The 17,284-nt window shown below is 35.5% G+C and overlaps 1 long non-coding RNA gene across 1 annotated transcript in view; it reads right to left on the minus strand.

The window, feature by feature from the left end:
• Positions 1 to 15,926, minus strand: part of LOC105377858 (uncharacterized) — a 140,187-nt gene extending 124,261 nt beyond the window's left edge. The window contains exon 1 of the long non-coding RNA NR_187974.1: positions 15,642 to 15,926. This is a non-coding gene — a long non-coding RNA (uncharacterized LOC105377858). The remainder of the gene's footprint in view (positions 1 to 15,641) is intronic.
• Positions 15,927 to 17,284: the final 1,358 nt, after the last annotated feature.

The raw sequence follows: 17,284 nt of genomic DNA on the forward strand, positions 1-17,284 counted from the left end.
CTCTATTATAATCCTTTTTATTTCTGTAGAATCAGTAATAATGCCCCCACTTTCACTTCTGATATCAGTAATTTATGTATTCTGTATTTTTTTTCTTAGTCTATCTAGGTAAAGGTTTATCAATTATATTGACCTTTTCAAAGAATCAACTTTTGGTTTCATTCATTTTCTCTATTGTTTATCTAGTCTCTATTTCATTGATCTCTGCTGTAATTTTTATTATTTTCTTCCCTTTGCTAGCTTTGCATTTAGTTAATTTCTTTTCTAGTTCTTTAAAAGTTAGGTTGCTGACTAGAGATCTTTCTTGTTTTTATTGTAAGCATTTATAGCTATAAATTTCCACTTCATAGCTGCTTTTGCTGCATTCCATAATTTTGGTATATTGTATTTTCATTTTTATTTATCACTAAGTATATTCTAATTTTCTTTGTGATTTCTACTTTGACTCATTTGTTGTTTAAGAGTGTATTATTTAATTTCCACAATTTTATAAATTTTTCTGTTTTATTTATCTTATTGATTACTAACTTCATCCCATTATGGTCGGTGAACATACTTTGTATGAGATCTACCTTTTTAAATTTATTGATACTCAATTTGTGACTCAACACATGGTCTATCCTGGAAAACGTCCCATGTAAACTTAAGAAGAATGAAGACGTTGTTGTTTGGAGTAGAGTGTTTTGTATATGTCTATTAAATCTGGTTGGTTCATTGTGTTTTCTTCTACTTCTTATTACTTATCTTCCATCTGGCTAGTCTATCCATTATTGAGAGTGCTATATTGAAATCTTCAAATATTATTGTAGAACTGTCTCTTTTGTTCTTTAATTCTGTCAGTTTTTCTTCCCAGATTTTGATGGTCTGTTTATTACATGTGTGAATCTTCATACTTTGTTTACCTTTATGCTCCGTTGAAATATTTATCAATGTATGCTGTTCTTCTTCATCTTCTGTAAACTTTTCTGATTCAAAGTCTACTATGTCTGATAATAGTATACCCATCCCTGCTCTCTTTTGGTTACTATTTGCATGGAGTAACTTTTTCATTCTCTCAATTTATTTGTTTTGGGATCTAAAGTGAGTCTTCTGTAGACAGCATATAGTTGGAAAATGTGTTTTATTTTAATCCATTTTGCTAATCTGTTTTTTGATTCAAGAGTTTATTTACAAGTAAAGTAATTACCAATAAGGAAGTACTACTGTCACTTTGCTATTTGTCTTCTGTATGCTATTTGTCTTTTTAGTCCCTCATTTCCTGCATTACTGTCTTCTTTTGTGTTTTGTTGATTATTTTCTTTTTTTGGAGACAAGGTCTTGCTCTGTCACTCAGGCTGTAGTGCAGTGGTGTGATCACAGGTCCCTGCAGCCTCAACCTCCTGAGCTCAAGCAATCCTCCCACCTTAGCCTCTGGAGTAACTGGAACCACAGGTATGTTCCACCATGCCCAGCTAATTGTTTAATTTTTTGTAGGCATGGGGTCTTGCTCTGTTACCCAGGCTGGTCTCAAACTCCTGAGCTCAAGCAAAACTCCCACTTTAGCCTCCCAAAGTGCTGGGATTACAGGTGTCAGCCACCATGCCTGGTTCGTTGATTTTTTTTGTAGTTACATGTTTATATTTTATTTTCATTTCCTTTGGGTGTCTTCTATAGGTATTTTCTTTGTGGTTACCATTGGATTACACTTAACATCCTAAAGTTATACTACTCTAATTTTAATCTATATCAGTTTAACTTCAATAGCATAAAAAACTTTGCTCCTTTACAGCATTGTCCCCTCATCATTTTGGTTGTTGATGTCAAAAAAATTACATCTTTATATTTGTGTTTCCCAAAACATAAACTAATAATTCTTTTAAATGCATTGTCTTTTAAATTATATAGAAAACAAAATTTGAAATTACAAACCAAAGTTACAATAATACTAACTTTTAGATTAATAATTTAAATGTATTAATTTCTTATTTAGAAATTACAAAGTAGAGTTATAAACCATTGTTATATTAATGCTAGCTTTTATAATTACCCATGTATTTACTTTTATTAAGATCTTTTTAAAATAGTTTTGAGTTATGGTCCAGTCATCCTTTTATTTCACCTTGTATAACTTCCTTGAACATTTGTTGCAGGGAAAGTTAAGGGGTAACAAACTATTTCAGCTTTTGTTTATCTGGAACTGTCTTTATTTTATTTTGAAGGAAAGATTTGCCAGATGTAGGATTCTTGGTTGACAGATAGTACTTTGAATATATCAGACTGCTATGATTTGGATTTGCGTCCTCACCCAAATCTTATGTTCAATTGTAATTCCCAAAGTTGGAGGTGGGGCATGGTGGGAGGTGATTGAATCATGGGGGCAGGTTTCTAATGGTTTTGCACCATTCCCCTATTGCTGTTCTCATGATAGAGTTCTCAGAAGATCTGATTGTTTAAAAGTATATGGTGCCACCCTCCTGTGCTAGCCATGTGAGATGCCTTGCTTTCCCTTAGCCTTCTGCCATGATTAAAAATTTCCTGAGGGCTTCCCACAAGCCATGCAGAGGTTGCCATGCTTCCTGTACAGCTTGTGGAACTGTGAGCCAATTATACCTCTTTTCTTTATAAATCACCCAGTCTCAGGCATTTCTTTATAGCAGTATAAGAATGAACTAATACACAGACCATAGCCTTGTGGCCTCTAGAGTTTCTGTTGAGAAATATGCGGGTAATTTTATTAAGGATATTTGTATGTAATTAGTCACTTCCTTCTCATTGCTTTCAAAATTCTTTCATTGTGTTTTAAAAGTTTGATTATAATATTTCTCAGTGTGGGTCTCTTTGAGTTCATTTTACTTGGAGTTTGAGCTTCTTGAGTTTTATATCCATATCTTTTATCAAATATGGGGAGTTTTCAGCCATTATTTCATAAAATAATGCTATTTCCTTTCTCTCTGTGCACACCCCTTTTCTCTCTCCCCCTCTCTTCAACTTCTGAGAGTCTTACAATGTATATGTTGATCTTCTAAACAGTGTTCCACTGGTTCTTTAGGCTCTATTTACTTTTCTTTAATCTGTTTTCCTTCTGTTCCTCAGACTTAATAATTTCCATTGTCTTATTTTCAAGTTCACTTATTCTTTCTTCTGCCTGTTCAAATGCAGCTTTAAATTCCTCTAGTGATTTTATTTCAGTTATTGTATTTTTCAGCTCCAAAATTTGTTTTTTATTTCTTTTTAGATTTTCTAGCTCTTCACTGATATTTCTATTTTTTTGGATTTTTTTTTTTTACTTTCTCCACGTCTTTAGTTCTTAGAGCACCCTTAAGAGAGTTGTTTTAAAGTTTTTGTCTGATCTTTCATCAAATCTTCCTAGAATCTTCTGAGGATTTTTATTTAAAAAAAAATGCTTATCACAAAACATTAAAAACATATCCAGTTTATTCATTTTTTCCTTTAAATGAGTTATACAGTAAGTCCTCGCTTAACATCACTGATAAGTTCTTAGAAAATAAGAGTTTAAGTGCTCCTATTTCTCCACATCCTCTCCAGCACCTGTTGTTTCCTGAATTTTTAATCATCGCCATTCTAACTGGTGTGAGATGATATCTCACTGTGGTTTTGATTTGCATTTCTCTGATGGCCAGTGATGATGAGCATTTTTTCATGTGTCTGTTGGCTGCATAAATGTCTTCTTTTGAGAAGTGTCTGTTCATATCCTTCGCCCACTTGTTGATGGGGTTGTTTGTTTTTTCTTGTAAATTTGTTGGAGTTCATTGTAGATTCTGGATATTAGCCCTTTGTCAGATGGGTAGATTGCAAAAATTTTCTCCCATTCTGTTGGTTGCCTGTTCACTCTGATGGTAGTTTCCTTTGCTGTGCAGAAGCTCTTTAGTTGAATTAGATCCCATTTGTCAATTTTGGCTTTTGTTGCCATTGCTTTTGGTGTTTTAGACATGAAGCCCTTGCCCATTCCTATGTCCTGAATAGTATTGCCTAGGTTTTCTTCTAGGGTTTTTATGGTTTTAGGTCTAAAAGAAATAATGGGGCCAGGCACGGTGGCACATGCCTGTAATCCAAGCACTTTGGGAGGCCAAGGCTGGTGGATCATGAGGTCAAGAGATAGACACCATCCTAGCCAACATGGTGAAACCTTGTCTCTGTTAAAAATACAAAAATTAGCTGGGCATCGTGGTGCACGACTGTAGTCCCAGCTACTCGGGAAGCTTAGGTAGGAGAATCGCTTGAACCCACGAGGCAGAGGTTGCAGTGAGCCTAGATTGTGCCACTGCACTCCAGCCTGCAACATCATTTTGTAATAACATGTATGAGAAAAATAGTTTTTGTTAGATCATGTTTTATTTAAAATTGCAGTTTAAAAGAACCTATCAACAATGTTTAGTAAGGGCTTACTGTTCCTTTCTTTTTCTGTGTATGCTTTGTGATCCTTTGCTGAAAATGGGACACTTAAATCTTTCTTATAGAAGAATTCTGAATAAGTAGTTACTAACTCTTCCAGGAGATGAAACTTTATCCTCAAGTATGGGCTGGCCTTAGTGATTACGTCTGAAGAATAAAATAATTGGAAGGTGAGTCCCTCCTGAGAATTGGCCTAGGCAGAAAAAAGCTTTTGCCCCGGGTTATGGATTACGACTTTCCTTCCTCCTACCAACACCATCCAATGCCTGATTGATGCAAGGGATGGGCTAGAATACAAAAACTCAGCCTTTTACCTTAAAGAAGACAACAAACTGAAGACTATGCCAACTCCAGAGCACCTTGTGAGATTTGTTGGAACCTCTCTTGGAAATGCACTGAGGTCCCACTTCTCATTCTGCTTAATCTGGCTTCTTTATTTCCTTTATACTTGTTCCAGGGAGAAGTCTCCAGTAAACCTTCTGCGTTCAAATTCCCATCTCAAAGTCAGCTTATCTGCAACCTGATCTAAGACACCTTATAGTGTGAAAGAGAGGTGGTAGATAGAAAGGAGGCAGGTGTAAGTTGAGGAAGTAGATCTAAGATTGTGGAGCACGTACAATGGTGAGACGAGTCAAAAGCTTGGAAAAGTGAATAATGGCGAGTTACTTTTATTAGTCTAGAGGGTAAGGTACAGGGCAAAGTGTGATAGGACAGGGAAGCATGTGACAAAATAGATATAGAAAATCTCTTGGAAGACCACAGGCAGGAGCTGATCCTAATGGAGTTCTTAGAAAGGCTCTGCTCTCACAGTTTACAAGATTCCCTAATAGACTTCGAGTGAGCCTCAGGTGTACCTCTCTCCCACTCAGCTTTGGGTACTATTCTTATATCACTGAAATGGCCCATCCCTGCCATTGTTTAAAAGGTTACTTGGGCCCAGCCCAAACTGTCACATGGTCTTCAGTTTAGCAGAAATATATACATTGCAGCCAAGTTTTATCCTGTGTAATAATGTCTTGCGGTATCTAAACTGGTTGAGACAATAGTGAAATTATTTATTGTATGGGAGAAGAAAATTAAGAAGTTACTGGAAAGTACATAAAAATTAATTATTATATTGCATAAATTGAGTTCATGGCTACAAGATAGAAATGAATGTACTATAAAATGTAGAAAAGATTTTATTTAGACCCATGTTCCTATAAAGGAACAGGCTGGCTGAGAATTCATATGGGCAGCTCTTGGACCCCAAAAGATGATGAGAGTCACTAAATTCCTACAAATTACGATGGAGGTTCCAAGAGCACTAAGAGTGTAATGATGGGCCATGAATTTTATTTTTTTATTTTTATTTTTTATTAAAGTTCTAGGGTACATGTGCACAACGTGCAGGTTTGTTACATATGTATACATGTGCCATGTTGGTGTGCTGCACCCATTAACTCATCATTTACATTAGGTATATCTCCTAATGCTATCCCTCCCTCCTCCCCTTGCCCTATGACAGGCCCTGGTGTGTGATGTTCCCCACCCTGTATCCAAGTGTTCTCATTGTTCAATTCCCACCTATGAGTGACAACATGCAGTGTTTGATTTTTTGTCCTTGCGATAGTTTGCTCAGAATGATGGTTCCCAGTTTCATCCATGTCCCTGCAAAGGACAGGAACTCATCCTTTTTTATGGCTGCATAGTATTTCACGGTGTATATGTGCCACATTTTCTTAATCCAGTCTATCATTGATGGACATTTGGGTTGGTTCCAAGTCTTTGCTATTGTGAATAGTGCCACAATAAACACACATGTGCATATGTCTTTATAGCAGCATGATTTATAATCCTTTGGGCATATACCCAGTAATGGGATGGCTGGGTCAAATGGTGTTTCTAGTTCTAGACCCTTGAGGAATTGCCACACTGTCTTCCACAATGGTTGAACTAGTTTACAGTCCCACCAACAGTGTCAAAGTGTTCCTATTTCTCCACATCCTCTCCAGCACCTGTTGTTTCCTGACTTTTTAATGATTGCTATTCTAACTGGTGTGAGATGGTATCTCATTGTGGTTGTGACTTGCATTTCTGATGGCCAGTGATGATGAGCATTTTTTCATGTGTCTTTTGGCTGCATAAATGTCTTCTTTTGAGAGGTGTCTGTTCATATCCTTCGCCCACTTGTTGATGGGGTTGTTTGTTTTTTTCTTGTAAATTTGTTTGAGTTCATTGTACATTCTGGATATTAGCCCTTTGTCAGATGAGTAGATTGCAAAAATTTTCTCCCATTTTGTAGGTTGCCTGTTCACTCTGATGGTAGTTTCTTTTGCTGTGCAGAAGCTCTTTAGTTTAATTAGATCCCTTTTGTCAATTTTGGCTTTTGTTGCCATTGCTTTTGGTGTTTTAGACATGAAGTCCTTGCCCATTCTTATGTCCTGAATGGTATTGTCTAGGTTTTCTTCTAGGGTTTTTATGGTTTTAGGTCTAACATTTAAGTCTTTAATCCATCTTGAATTAATTTTTGTATAAGGTGTAAGGAAGGGATCCAGTTTCAGCTTTCTAGATATGGCTAGCCAGTTTTCACAGCACCATTTATTAAATAGGGAAGCCTTTCTCCATTTCTTGTTTTTGTCAGGTTTGTCAAAGATCAGATGGTTGCAGATGTGTTGTATTATTTCTGAGGGCTCTGTTCTGTTCCATTGCTCTATATCTCTGTTTTGGTACCAGTACCATGCTGTTTTGGTTATTGTAGCCTTGTAGGATAGTTTGAAGTCAGGTAGCGTGATGCCTCCAGCTTTGTTCTTTTGGCTTAAGATTGACTTGGCAATGTCGGCTCTTTTTTGGTTCCATATGAACTTTAATTTTTTCCAATTCTGTGAAGAAAGTCATTGGTAGCTTGATGGGGCTGACATTGAATCTATAAATTACCTTAGGCAGTATGGCCATTTTCATGAAATTGATTCTTCCTACCCATGAGCATGGAATGTTCTTCCATTTGTTTGTGTCCTCTTTTATTTCGTTGAGCAGTAGTTTGTAGTTCTCCTTGAAGAGGTCCTTCACATCCCTTGTAAGTTGGATTCCTAGGTATTTTATTCTCTTTGAAGCAATTGTGAATGGGACTTCACTCATGATTTGGCTCTCTGTTTGTCTGTTATTGGTGTATAAGAATGCTGGTGATTTTTGCACATTGACTTTGTATCCTGAGACTTTGCTGAAGTTGCTTATCAGCTTAAGAAGATTTTGGGCTGAGATGATGGGGTATTCTAAATATACAATCATGTCATCTGCAAACAGGGACAATTTGACTCCCTCTTTTCCTAATTGAATACCCTTCATTTCTTTCTCCTGCCTGAATCCCCTAGCCAGAACTTCCAAGACTATGTTGAATAGGAGTGGTGAGAGAGGGCATCCCTGTCTTGTGCCAGTTTTCAAAGGGAATGCTTCCAGTTTTTGTCCATACAGTATGATATTGGCTGTGGGTTTGTCATAACTAGCTCTTATTATTTTGAGATACTTCCCATCAATACCTAATTTATTGAGAGTTTTTAGCATGAAGTGCTGTTGAATTTTGTCAAAGGCCTTTTCTGCATCTATTGAGATAATCATGTGGTTTTTGTCTTTGGTTCTGTTTATATGCTGGATTATGTTTATTGATATGCGTATGTTGAACCAGCCTTGCATCCCGAGGATGAAGCCCACTTGATCATGTTGGATAGAGGGAAATTTATAGCACTAAATGCCCATAAGAGAAAGCAGGAAACATCTAAAATTGACACCCTAACATCACAATTAAATGAACTAGAGAAGCAAGAGCAAACACATTCAAAAGCTAGCAGAAGGCAAGAAATAACTAAGATCAGACCAGAACTGAAGGAGATAGAGACACAAAAAACCCTTCAAAAAATCAATGAATCCAGGGCCATGAATTTTAAACACAGACAATGCCACAGCTTATCTGGGTGAACCTTGTGAACCTTGTGAATTAAGAAACAGTTCACCTACATTAGGAATTTCAGATCCTGAAAGGTTTATGCCATCCATCCAATTGTATTCTAACCTCAATAAAACTGTAATTCCAAATCTTTCTTTCTCAGGAATGGGTATTTATATCCATAGTGAAAATCATAAAATGAAAACTGTGTGTTCTATTTCTGTGTTATATGTCAGCTAATTATTGAAGTTATGGTTAAAGGAAGGACTACAAAAATATGGTCCTACTGAAATAAATATTTTTTCCCAAATGATTTCTGCAGAGAATAATTTAACTTGTAAGTAAAATTAATCACTTTCTAAATTATCATACTGAAAATTGACTCAGAGATTATAAAAATGATCTGGAAGCAAATTTTAAAGTTCTGGAGTCTTCAGGACATAAAGACTATGAAGGAAACAGTCATGGTTTTGTCTGTTTCAAAGAGTTTCACTTGAAATGCATTTTTCAACATAATATCAAGAAATTCTTTTATGTGTGGGTGGGGTGGTGGAAGGGTGGCAGTGGTGTGGGGAACTTTTCTAAAGTTAAATAAAGGGATTTTAATAATTTATATTTTCCTTCTTCTTCCCCTTTGTTTCTATTAATCAACTAGTGCTTTCAATGAAATCAATCACAAAATCACTTATTATTTTAAAAGTTTATCCATTTCTGTCTCCTAAAGAAAGTTGTTCTTAACCTAATCCTTTTAAGATTTTTGTATGTGTGAATGTATACTCATTATCAACAATGAGACTTTGAAAATAAAAGCATAACAGGAAAATTAAATTAAATTTGCATATATACATAGATATGTATGTATATCTATATCTGCTATATTTTATTCATTTATTTATTTTTCTCTCAAGAAATTAGAATGATGTGAATTAAAATGCCTATAAAATACTAACAGTGGAAAAAAGTGTGACTGTAATTTTATACCAGAGCTTTCAGGATGTTTTAAATTTAACTGATCTGTTTTTATAAACAACCCTGTTAATTTATCCTAAAACTTTTGCAAACATGGATAACTCATACAAGCAACATTTTTTCAACTATTCCAAATGTTTTTAGAATAATCAGTTATTCCTACAGGAGCCATTTCCAAGCATACAAAAGCAATTCCTAGAATATGTACCATTTGGTAACATCTACATGGCGTTTACTTTTTTCTTGCATTTAGTTCATTTTTGCACCCTCGACTTCATCCATTTGACATTTTACCAGATGCATAATTTTTGTATGAGAAAAGTATGTTTACATAATTTTAAAAACATGAATCAACTTATCAAATCTAATTTTCCTGAGTTCAAAATTGAGAACAGAAAATGATAAAATTTGGCTGTGTCTTAAAATACTCAGTTACCTTGCCAATTTTTTACTAATTATTCTGAAATTAGGTTTAATTTTACAACCAAAACATAAGACCCAAATTCTTAACTATCTCATTTGAAAACATATGAGTCTGAAACAAGTGTCTTATACAATCTCAGATCTAAAATTGAATTTCAGAAAGATACAAGAATAAGGTGCTATGAAATTAAAGAACATAATCTGGTGGATTTTTATTTTTCTGGAGGACCCTTTCTCCAGGCTGTTGAGCAAGGTATAATTTTCACTAGAGCAGTTCTGTACTATTTCTGCAACCAGGCATTATAAAAATGTTTTTTCCCATTCAAATTCTGCAACAAGCTAAAGACTTATTGGGAAAAAGAAAAGACGGCTTCTTGATTCTAAGAATGATCCAGAAAACACCAATTATGGTGCAAAATTAAAGTTTAATATTTCCAAATATAAATATATTTTTCTCTGTATCCAAGATAGCAATAACCAGTTATTGCAAGGGCATCTGCATTTTAACAGAGGAAATGAGGTAAGCCATAGGAATACATCTAACAGCAGGACTTCAGGCATCAGTCAACAAGACATGGGAGGTCTTCCTTAGAAAAGCAGTGATTTGGCAGAAAGAACTCAATGTCAGACAGGCTTGACTTGACTGGTGGCTGAGCCACTTACTAATCCTGAAACAAGAACAGGGCTTCAACATTTTTCTAAGCCTCAGTTTCCTTATTTCTTAATTTAAAAAAAAAAACACTTTACGTGGTTATTTTGATTATCATTTCAAACAAGGTAAAGCAGGAAGTAGGTAACCAATGCTAATCTCTATGTGATCCTGCTCAAAAAGTTGGTTTTGCCATCTTTAAAGTATGGAGTTCTCCACCAAAGCTCTGGCTGAAGAGTCAAATATATATATAATTCAAAGTAGTCTATATATTCCTGGCAAATGATACTTTAAGGAGATTAAAAGAGAATAAAAGGAATGCCATACATTAATTAAATACCTGCCATATAACCAGACACTATTTCTCCAAGCATAATATATGATAATTCATTTATTCCTGAGAAGTACCCTATAAGATAGGAACTATTTTAACCCCATTTTTCTAAGCATAGAAAAATGAATTTAAAGCCAGAGAGTTTAGTCATTTTTTCCAGAAGCCCTATTGATTTTAGTGAGAAATGAGATCTAAAGTCCATGATTAGATGAATTTAATATTTTTAAGTTATTTTATCATTAGGATATATCCCACAAAACGTGTATATTAAAATTACCCTATTTTGAAATCGCTTGGAATTTTATCTTCTCATGTGATTATACCACCGACAAAACATGTTTAGGTTCATTTTTAAATTTTTATTCTTAAGGATTATCCTTTTATTTAATTATGTAAAATATTTCCATAGTCCCCAAATTAAGCAAAGCTATATTTTGAGAAAGCTAGCTTTTCAATATTTTTAATATTTTATTTTTAATATTAACAGATATATATGTTTTATTTTTAATATTATTTTTATTTTTAATATTAACAGATATATATCTTTTTTTTAACTAAACAATAGCAAACTGCACAACCTTTCTTTTTGCCTGGAATTTTTTCTCCTTTGGATGGGGATATTAACATTTATCCTACTAGTCCCCTGTAGATAGGTACCTAGGTTTCTTCCAGTTTTTGATATTACAAATAGTTCTTTGAATAGCTTTATGCAAACAAAGTACATATTTTTGGTGATATATGCTTGAGATAAGTTTCTAGAAATACCATTTCTAAGTCAAGAGATAAATGGATATGCGATCTATCTAGATATTTTGAAATGTCTCATTATAGCGTTTGTGTCATTTGCAATTTCACTAACAATGTAAGAGTGCTGTTTTACCATAACTTCTTCAGCAAAGTATGTTGTAAGACTTTGTAGTTTTAATTTTTACTCATAGTGAGACATCATCTCAGTGAATTTTTTTCCTCTCTTCTCTTTTCTCCCTTTATCTCTTTTATGGGTATAAAACCAGGTTAGTATTACATGATCTCAATCCCAACACCCAAACAATCAATGATTTCATTAACTGTGGATACATTTCCAGTGGGACAATCATGTTTTTCTGAGGATTCTAATATTTGGAATTTAAAATACTAGTCTCTGCTGTCACATTGAGATGAAGTTGATCCATGGACCAAGAGCATCATTTTGATGTAGCCAGGTTTGACATATGGGCACAAATAGCAGAGTAAACAAATTATTTGGCAAAAAAAGAAACCAGAGGTACAGAGAGCAACAGAAAATGAAATCAAATGCCCCCAGATGGATGGAAGGAGTCATGTTTATTTGTGTGTCTGATCAAACAAAACTCAATGTGCAAGAATATGGCTTTCTTCATATTTCCACAAGCAAATGTAATTTCCATTGTGGGCTCCTCTCTGTACTGATATTAGAAAATATTACCTAGTCACTACCTAAACTTAGCAGACATTACTTTGCTCTATGCTGATTTTAAATTTCATAAGTTTAGGATTTAAACTCAGTTAGTTGAGGAGACAGAATGTTAATTTAGAACTTCTTCCTTCTCACTACGGAGGCTCTGGAAGCAGGCAGTCATTCATGGAATTGGTGGCAAAGGGAATCTGGTCCTTGACCATCTCTTAAAACTAGCCTCCACCGAGATACAACACTTTATATTTGGTCATTTTCACCATGTGCTATTAATGCTAAGGTCCCTAGGTTTACTATGGTGCCTGTTGTCCAAATTACAGTAACAGAAGTCTCCTTCCCTACTTGAACTCCAAAGCCTTTTGCAGTCTCTGGCTGCCTTCTTCCACACTTCCCTGGTATCCTGTGAGTCTTCCTTTAGGCCTGACTGCCTACTCTATGCTTGCTGTCTTACAGCTGTGCATCATTTAGGGTGCAGGGCTTCTTTGCAAGGCCGATGGGATCCTGGGCTACACCTGGAAGCATAGGCCAAGGTATTCTTGCTTTAGGATCCCCTCAAATTTATTTTTTCTGTTGTCATTTCCTCCCCAGGGGCAAGACTCAAGGTTCTTTAGGACTTGGAGGTTTTGGTTCATGACAGTGATTAACACTCCTGTCCTCCTCTCCAAATTTGGGAGAAAAACATCTCTTGGTCTAGCCCAGAAAAGGCACTTACTTCCTTTTTCGTGTGTGGGAAGAACTATGCACATCTTTCCAATGAAGCCATTTATGTAGGTCACTCAGGCACACAATAGCAAGACTGTTTCCCCTGGTTCCCTTTTCTCCCACTCCTTCCCTAAAGCAAAGCACAAACAGACCCTGTGAGCTAAAGGAAACGTTTTGGTGCAGAGTTACATGTATAGTTGCCTGACCCATTAGTCATCAAATCAGACAAGTCCACTCTGTGAATATAGATGACAGAAACTGTGTTTACCCAGCTGCTACACCTATACTTGAACTTCTAAAGTGGGCAAAACTCTATAGCACTTTAAGCTGTGACAGAGCTGGCTCTTGTATTTAAAAATAACATATAAAACTTTAAAAATTGAATGGCTGGATGTGATTAAACAGAAAAGGGATAATTCAGATTGAGTTTGTGTGTTGGTTGTGTCAGGTTTTTCACATGAAATACCTCATTTAAGTCTCATAACCATAAAGCAGCTAACAGATATTAGCTGCTTTATTTTGGGGAAGAGGAAACAAGATTGAGTTACTTAAGTTATAATGAGTCCACTGTTACGGGTTAAATTGCATCCCTTCAAAAGATGTATTGAAGTATTAAACCCGTGGTACTGTGAATGTGATCTCATTTGAAAATAAGGTCTGTAAAGGTATAATCAAGATTAGATGAGGTTATACTGAATTATGGCAGGCCCCCATATCCAGTGATTTCTATCTTCCTAAGGAAAAAAGATTTGGAGACAATCAGATGCACACAAAGGGAAAACAGCCACATGAAGTTGTAGACAGAGATTGGAGTAATGAAGTTAGAGCTGAGGAATGCCAAGAATTGCCAGCAACCACCAGAGGCTAAGAAAAGGCGAGGAAGTAGTCTTCCCTAGAGCCTTCAGCAGAAGCCTGGCCTTACTGACAACTTCAAACTTCTAGCCTCAACTGTGAGAGAATAAATTTCTGTTATTTTAAGCCACTCAGCTTGTGGTAATTCGTTACGACAGCTCTGGGAAAACTAATAAAATCCCCCATTCACTGAATGCCTACGAGGTCACAGACATTCTCCTCACCATCTATTATATGCTACTTAATTTAATTCTCATGCCAACCATCACCTCTGCTACAGATTGAAAGTTTGTGTCTCCCCAAAATGTGTATGTTGAAAGTTAATCCCCAGTGTGATGGTATTTGGAGGTGGGGCCTTTGGAAGGTACTTAGGTCAGGAGGGCAAAGCTTTCATGAACAGGACTAGTGCGCTTACAAAATGGACCCCAGACAGCTCTCTTGACCCTTCTGCCATGTGAGGACCCAGTGAGAAAGACAATTGTCTATGACCCAGGAAGTGGGCCACCACCAGCCACCAAATCTGCCAGCCCTTGATCTTAGATTTCCCAGCCTTCAGAATTGTGAGAAACACAAGTGCTGTTGTTTAAAAGCCACCTAGTCTATAGTGCTTTTGTTATATCAGCCCAAATGGACTAAGACAACCTTCAATTACAGAGATGACAGCAAGGCTTAGACAGGTTAGGTAGCTCACCAGTGTCAGACTATTTCAAAGTGATAGGGCCAAGTTTTTAAAGTTCAGAGTCAAAGAATCTACTATACTATAAATGCCTTTCTAGATTCACACAGCCAGAAAGTGAATTTGAAACCAGGTTTTCAGATTCGAACTCTTATTGTTAAACAGAATAAAAAGCTAAAATGCCACATTTTCACTACAAAGTTGACATTAACAAATAGAGGCTTGTAGGGATGTCATTGTAAGGTTCTAAGCATGACATATTAGACAAAGAATTATAAAGAAAGATTGCAATGGAAATATGCTAGTGAGATAATTAACTTAATTATCTTAAATTATTTGGTTTTGCTGCAGTTGTCTTGCATTAACTCTAACCACACAAGATGCAGTTAACAAAGATCTTTTTTGAAATTTTTCAATTTTTTTGTTACAGAAGATTTCAAAAATATACCAACATAGAATAATATCAGACACGCAAATATATAACATACGATTTCAATAATTATCCATTATTGACCAATCTTCTTTTATTTACATCTCTAGCCATCAATTCCAACATAAATTATTCTAAACAGAACTCCTATATTATACCATTTCAAACACACACACACACACATACACACACACACACACACACAATATTATCTAATTTAGGTATTTCTTCCTACAGAACCACTGTAGAAAAGGGAAAAAGAAAACGAGTTTACCTGACAGGTAATCTGGCACCACCTGCTCCCTACTGTAGCTGGACCAAAGGTTCTGTCCTTCTGCTTCTCCCTTCCTGCCTGGAGAAGGACTCAGGCTACCTTGCCAATCTTAATTCCTCAAGAAAAGTGAGTAAGTCCTACCAAGTCTAACTAAGAATTAGAAGTTCTTTGCCGGAGAAAGAAAATGGCAGCAGTCACCTCTAGCCATGTTTTTCTAACTCTCTTGATAATAAGAATCACCTGAGATTCTAATCACCTGAAGGTTCATTCCTGCATATTGCCCCATTGAGCAATAAAATATGGAAGTATAATTATTAATTATTTATCTGAAATAAAATACACAGAACTACAATTATTTATTGTTTATATGGAATTCAAATCTGCTGATATCCTGTATTTTATCTGGCATCTTTACTGGTAATGATTAAGAATAATGTTTTTAACATGCACTTCAGGTGTTTCTTGTTACAGTGTCTTAAGTAGAAATTCTAGGCAGTTTCATTTTTAGCCAAGCCTACCCTCACATTTCCAAGTGACCCTTATAAATGCTCAAATTGGCTGTGTAAATATCACTATCATTGTTACTTACCACTTACGAATACTTGCCATGACTTGCAATCATATTTATGTAGATTATTCAGCATGTGTCAGATGAAGTTAATTTATCCTTTGTTGATTATAGCAGTAAATTATTGATTCATAGTTGTTCTTCAAATTTTGTAGATCATAGTAATTGTTTCAATTTTAGAAATTAGAAGAAATGTTTCACAACACATGCTGGAAGCTGTAAAAGTGGGTCTTTGGAGGTGGCATGTAATGGTTCTTCTTGACCTTGAATTTATGACATCACTTGCAGCAAGCTCAGAAATGACAGAATGCGCCAGATCTTGACACAATGTTTTGTCCTCAGAGAATCCTCCTCTCTGGAATGTGCTTCTTCTTTTGGTCTGATGAAACACAAACTTCTTGGCTCAAAGGATATATTCAAGGGCCAATTGTTTACAAAAACATTTTCTTGAGGGCTTGAAAGTAGGGGTCTAGATGATAGATGGTGTTTTAAATGCATTTGCCATGTGTGAATCCCTGGAGGATCAGTAATGGAAGCATTTCCAAAAGTATTACCACTAATTAGGAATGTTGGTCTATGAAAAATTAGCCTCAGATACTTTGAAGGCTGGACATGTCAATGATTCCCAGATTTCTAAAGTCAAGGTGTGAGAAACTAATTGCCAAAAATACAAAGATGGATTTAATAAACATAACTGTGTCCAGCTTCAACAGTCTAGAAGCCCAAGAAAATTTCAGGATTTGATTTAACAGAACTTCCATGACCTTTGGTAGCCTTCCATTAAAGAAAAATCAAGCATATTTGATTTAAACAATTCTAGCCTTCAATGATAAATAAAAAGTATCCTTCACAAACATCTGAGATCTTGTAAAGTTTTTATTTTAAAAGGCCCAAATTTTCTCTAGGGTTTTAAATTATTTTCAAAGATTCGAAAGTTTTGGCTTCTCAGGACTAATACACTGGGAACAATGAAAGATAAACTAAGAAACTTTCCTCTCACAGAGCCTCCGGTTAAAAAGAAACATGATTTCTGTGTTCGGTCAGATTAGTATGTGAAATCTACTCAGATTCCACAAAACCATACAGAGTAACTGGCCCCTGACAGTCTCACTATATTTTTACCTTTAAGGTTTTGTTAAAATTTTGGATGATAATGGCTCTCCCCCAGCATCATTAAATGAGATGTACAATCAATCTTGAGTAAATTAATTGAAGAAAAAAGAACAAATGAATGAACATATCTTGAGTGAAGGACCAGCCATTTAATTGTGGGTGAAATTGCTGCTACAAGTTTTTCATATTAACAAGGATGCAATCAGCATAAAGAATGATGATGTTGAAAGTAACATATTTTCCTAACTGCATCAGTTACCGTGAAAAAGCAATAAACAATTCTTAAGAAAACCCTTCTGAGCAAATACTTTGGTTGTCCAAAATGAGGAGGAGCTGCCCACCCGAGTGTTTCAAAATCAGAATGATGACTGTCTTTTTCCACAAGGAGTATGCCAACTCTGAGAAGAGCTATGAGTCATGTCATTGATTGTATGCAGTTCTTGTTCTTTAAATTTTATTTTCATTACAAGTGTCTGATACTATAAAAATCAAAGGAGGGAAAAAACCTTAACCATTTCAGCAATGAACTCAAGGCCATATATTTGATTTTT

The sequence above is a fragment of the Homo sapiens genome, chromosome 6 (genome assembly GCF_000001405.40).
Source record: "Homo sapiens chromosome 6, GRCh38.p14 Primary Assembly".
In the NCBI taxonomy this organism is placed as follows: Eukaryota; Metazoa; Chordata; class Mammalia; order Primates; family Hominidae; genus Homo; species Homo sapiens.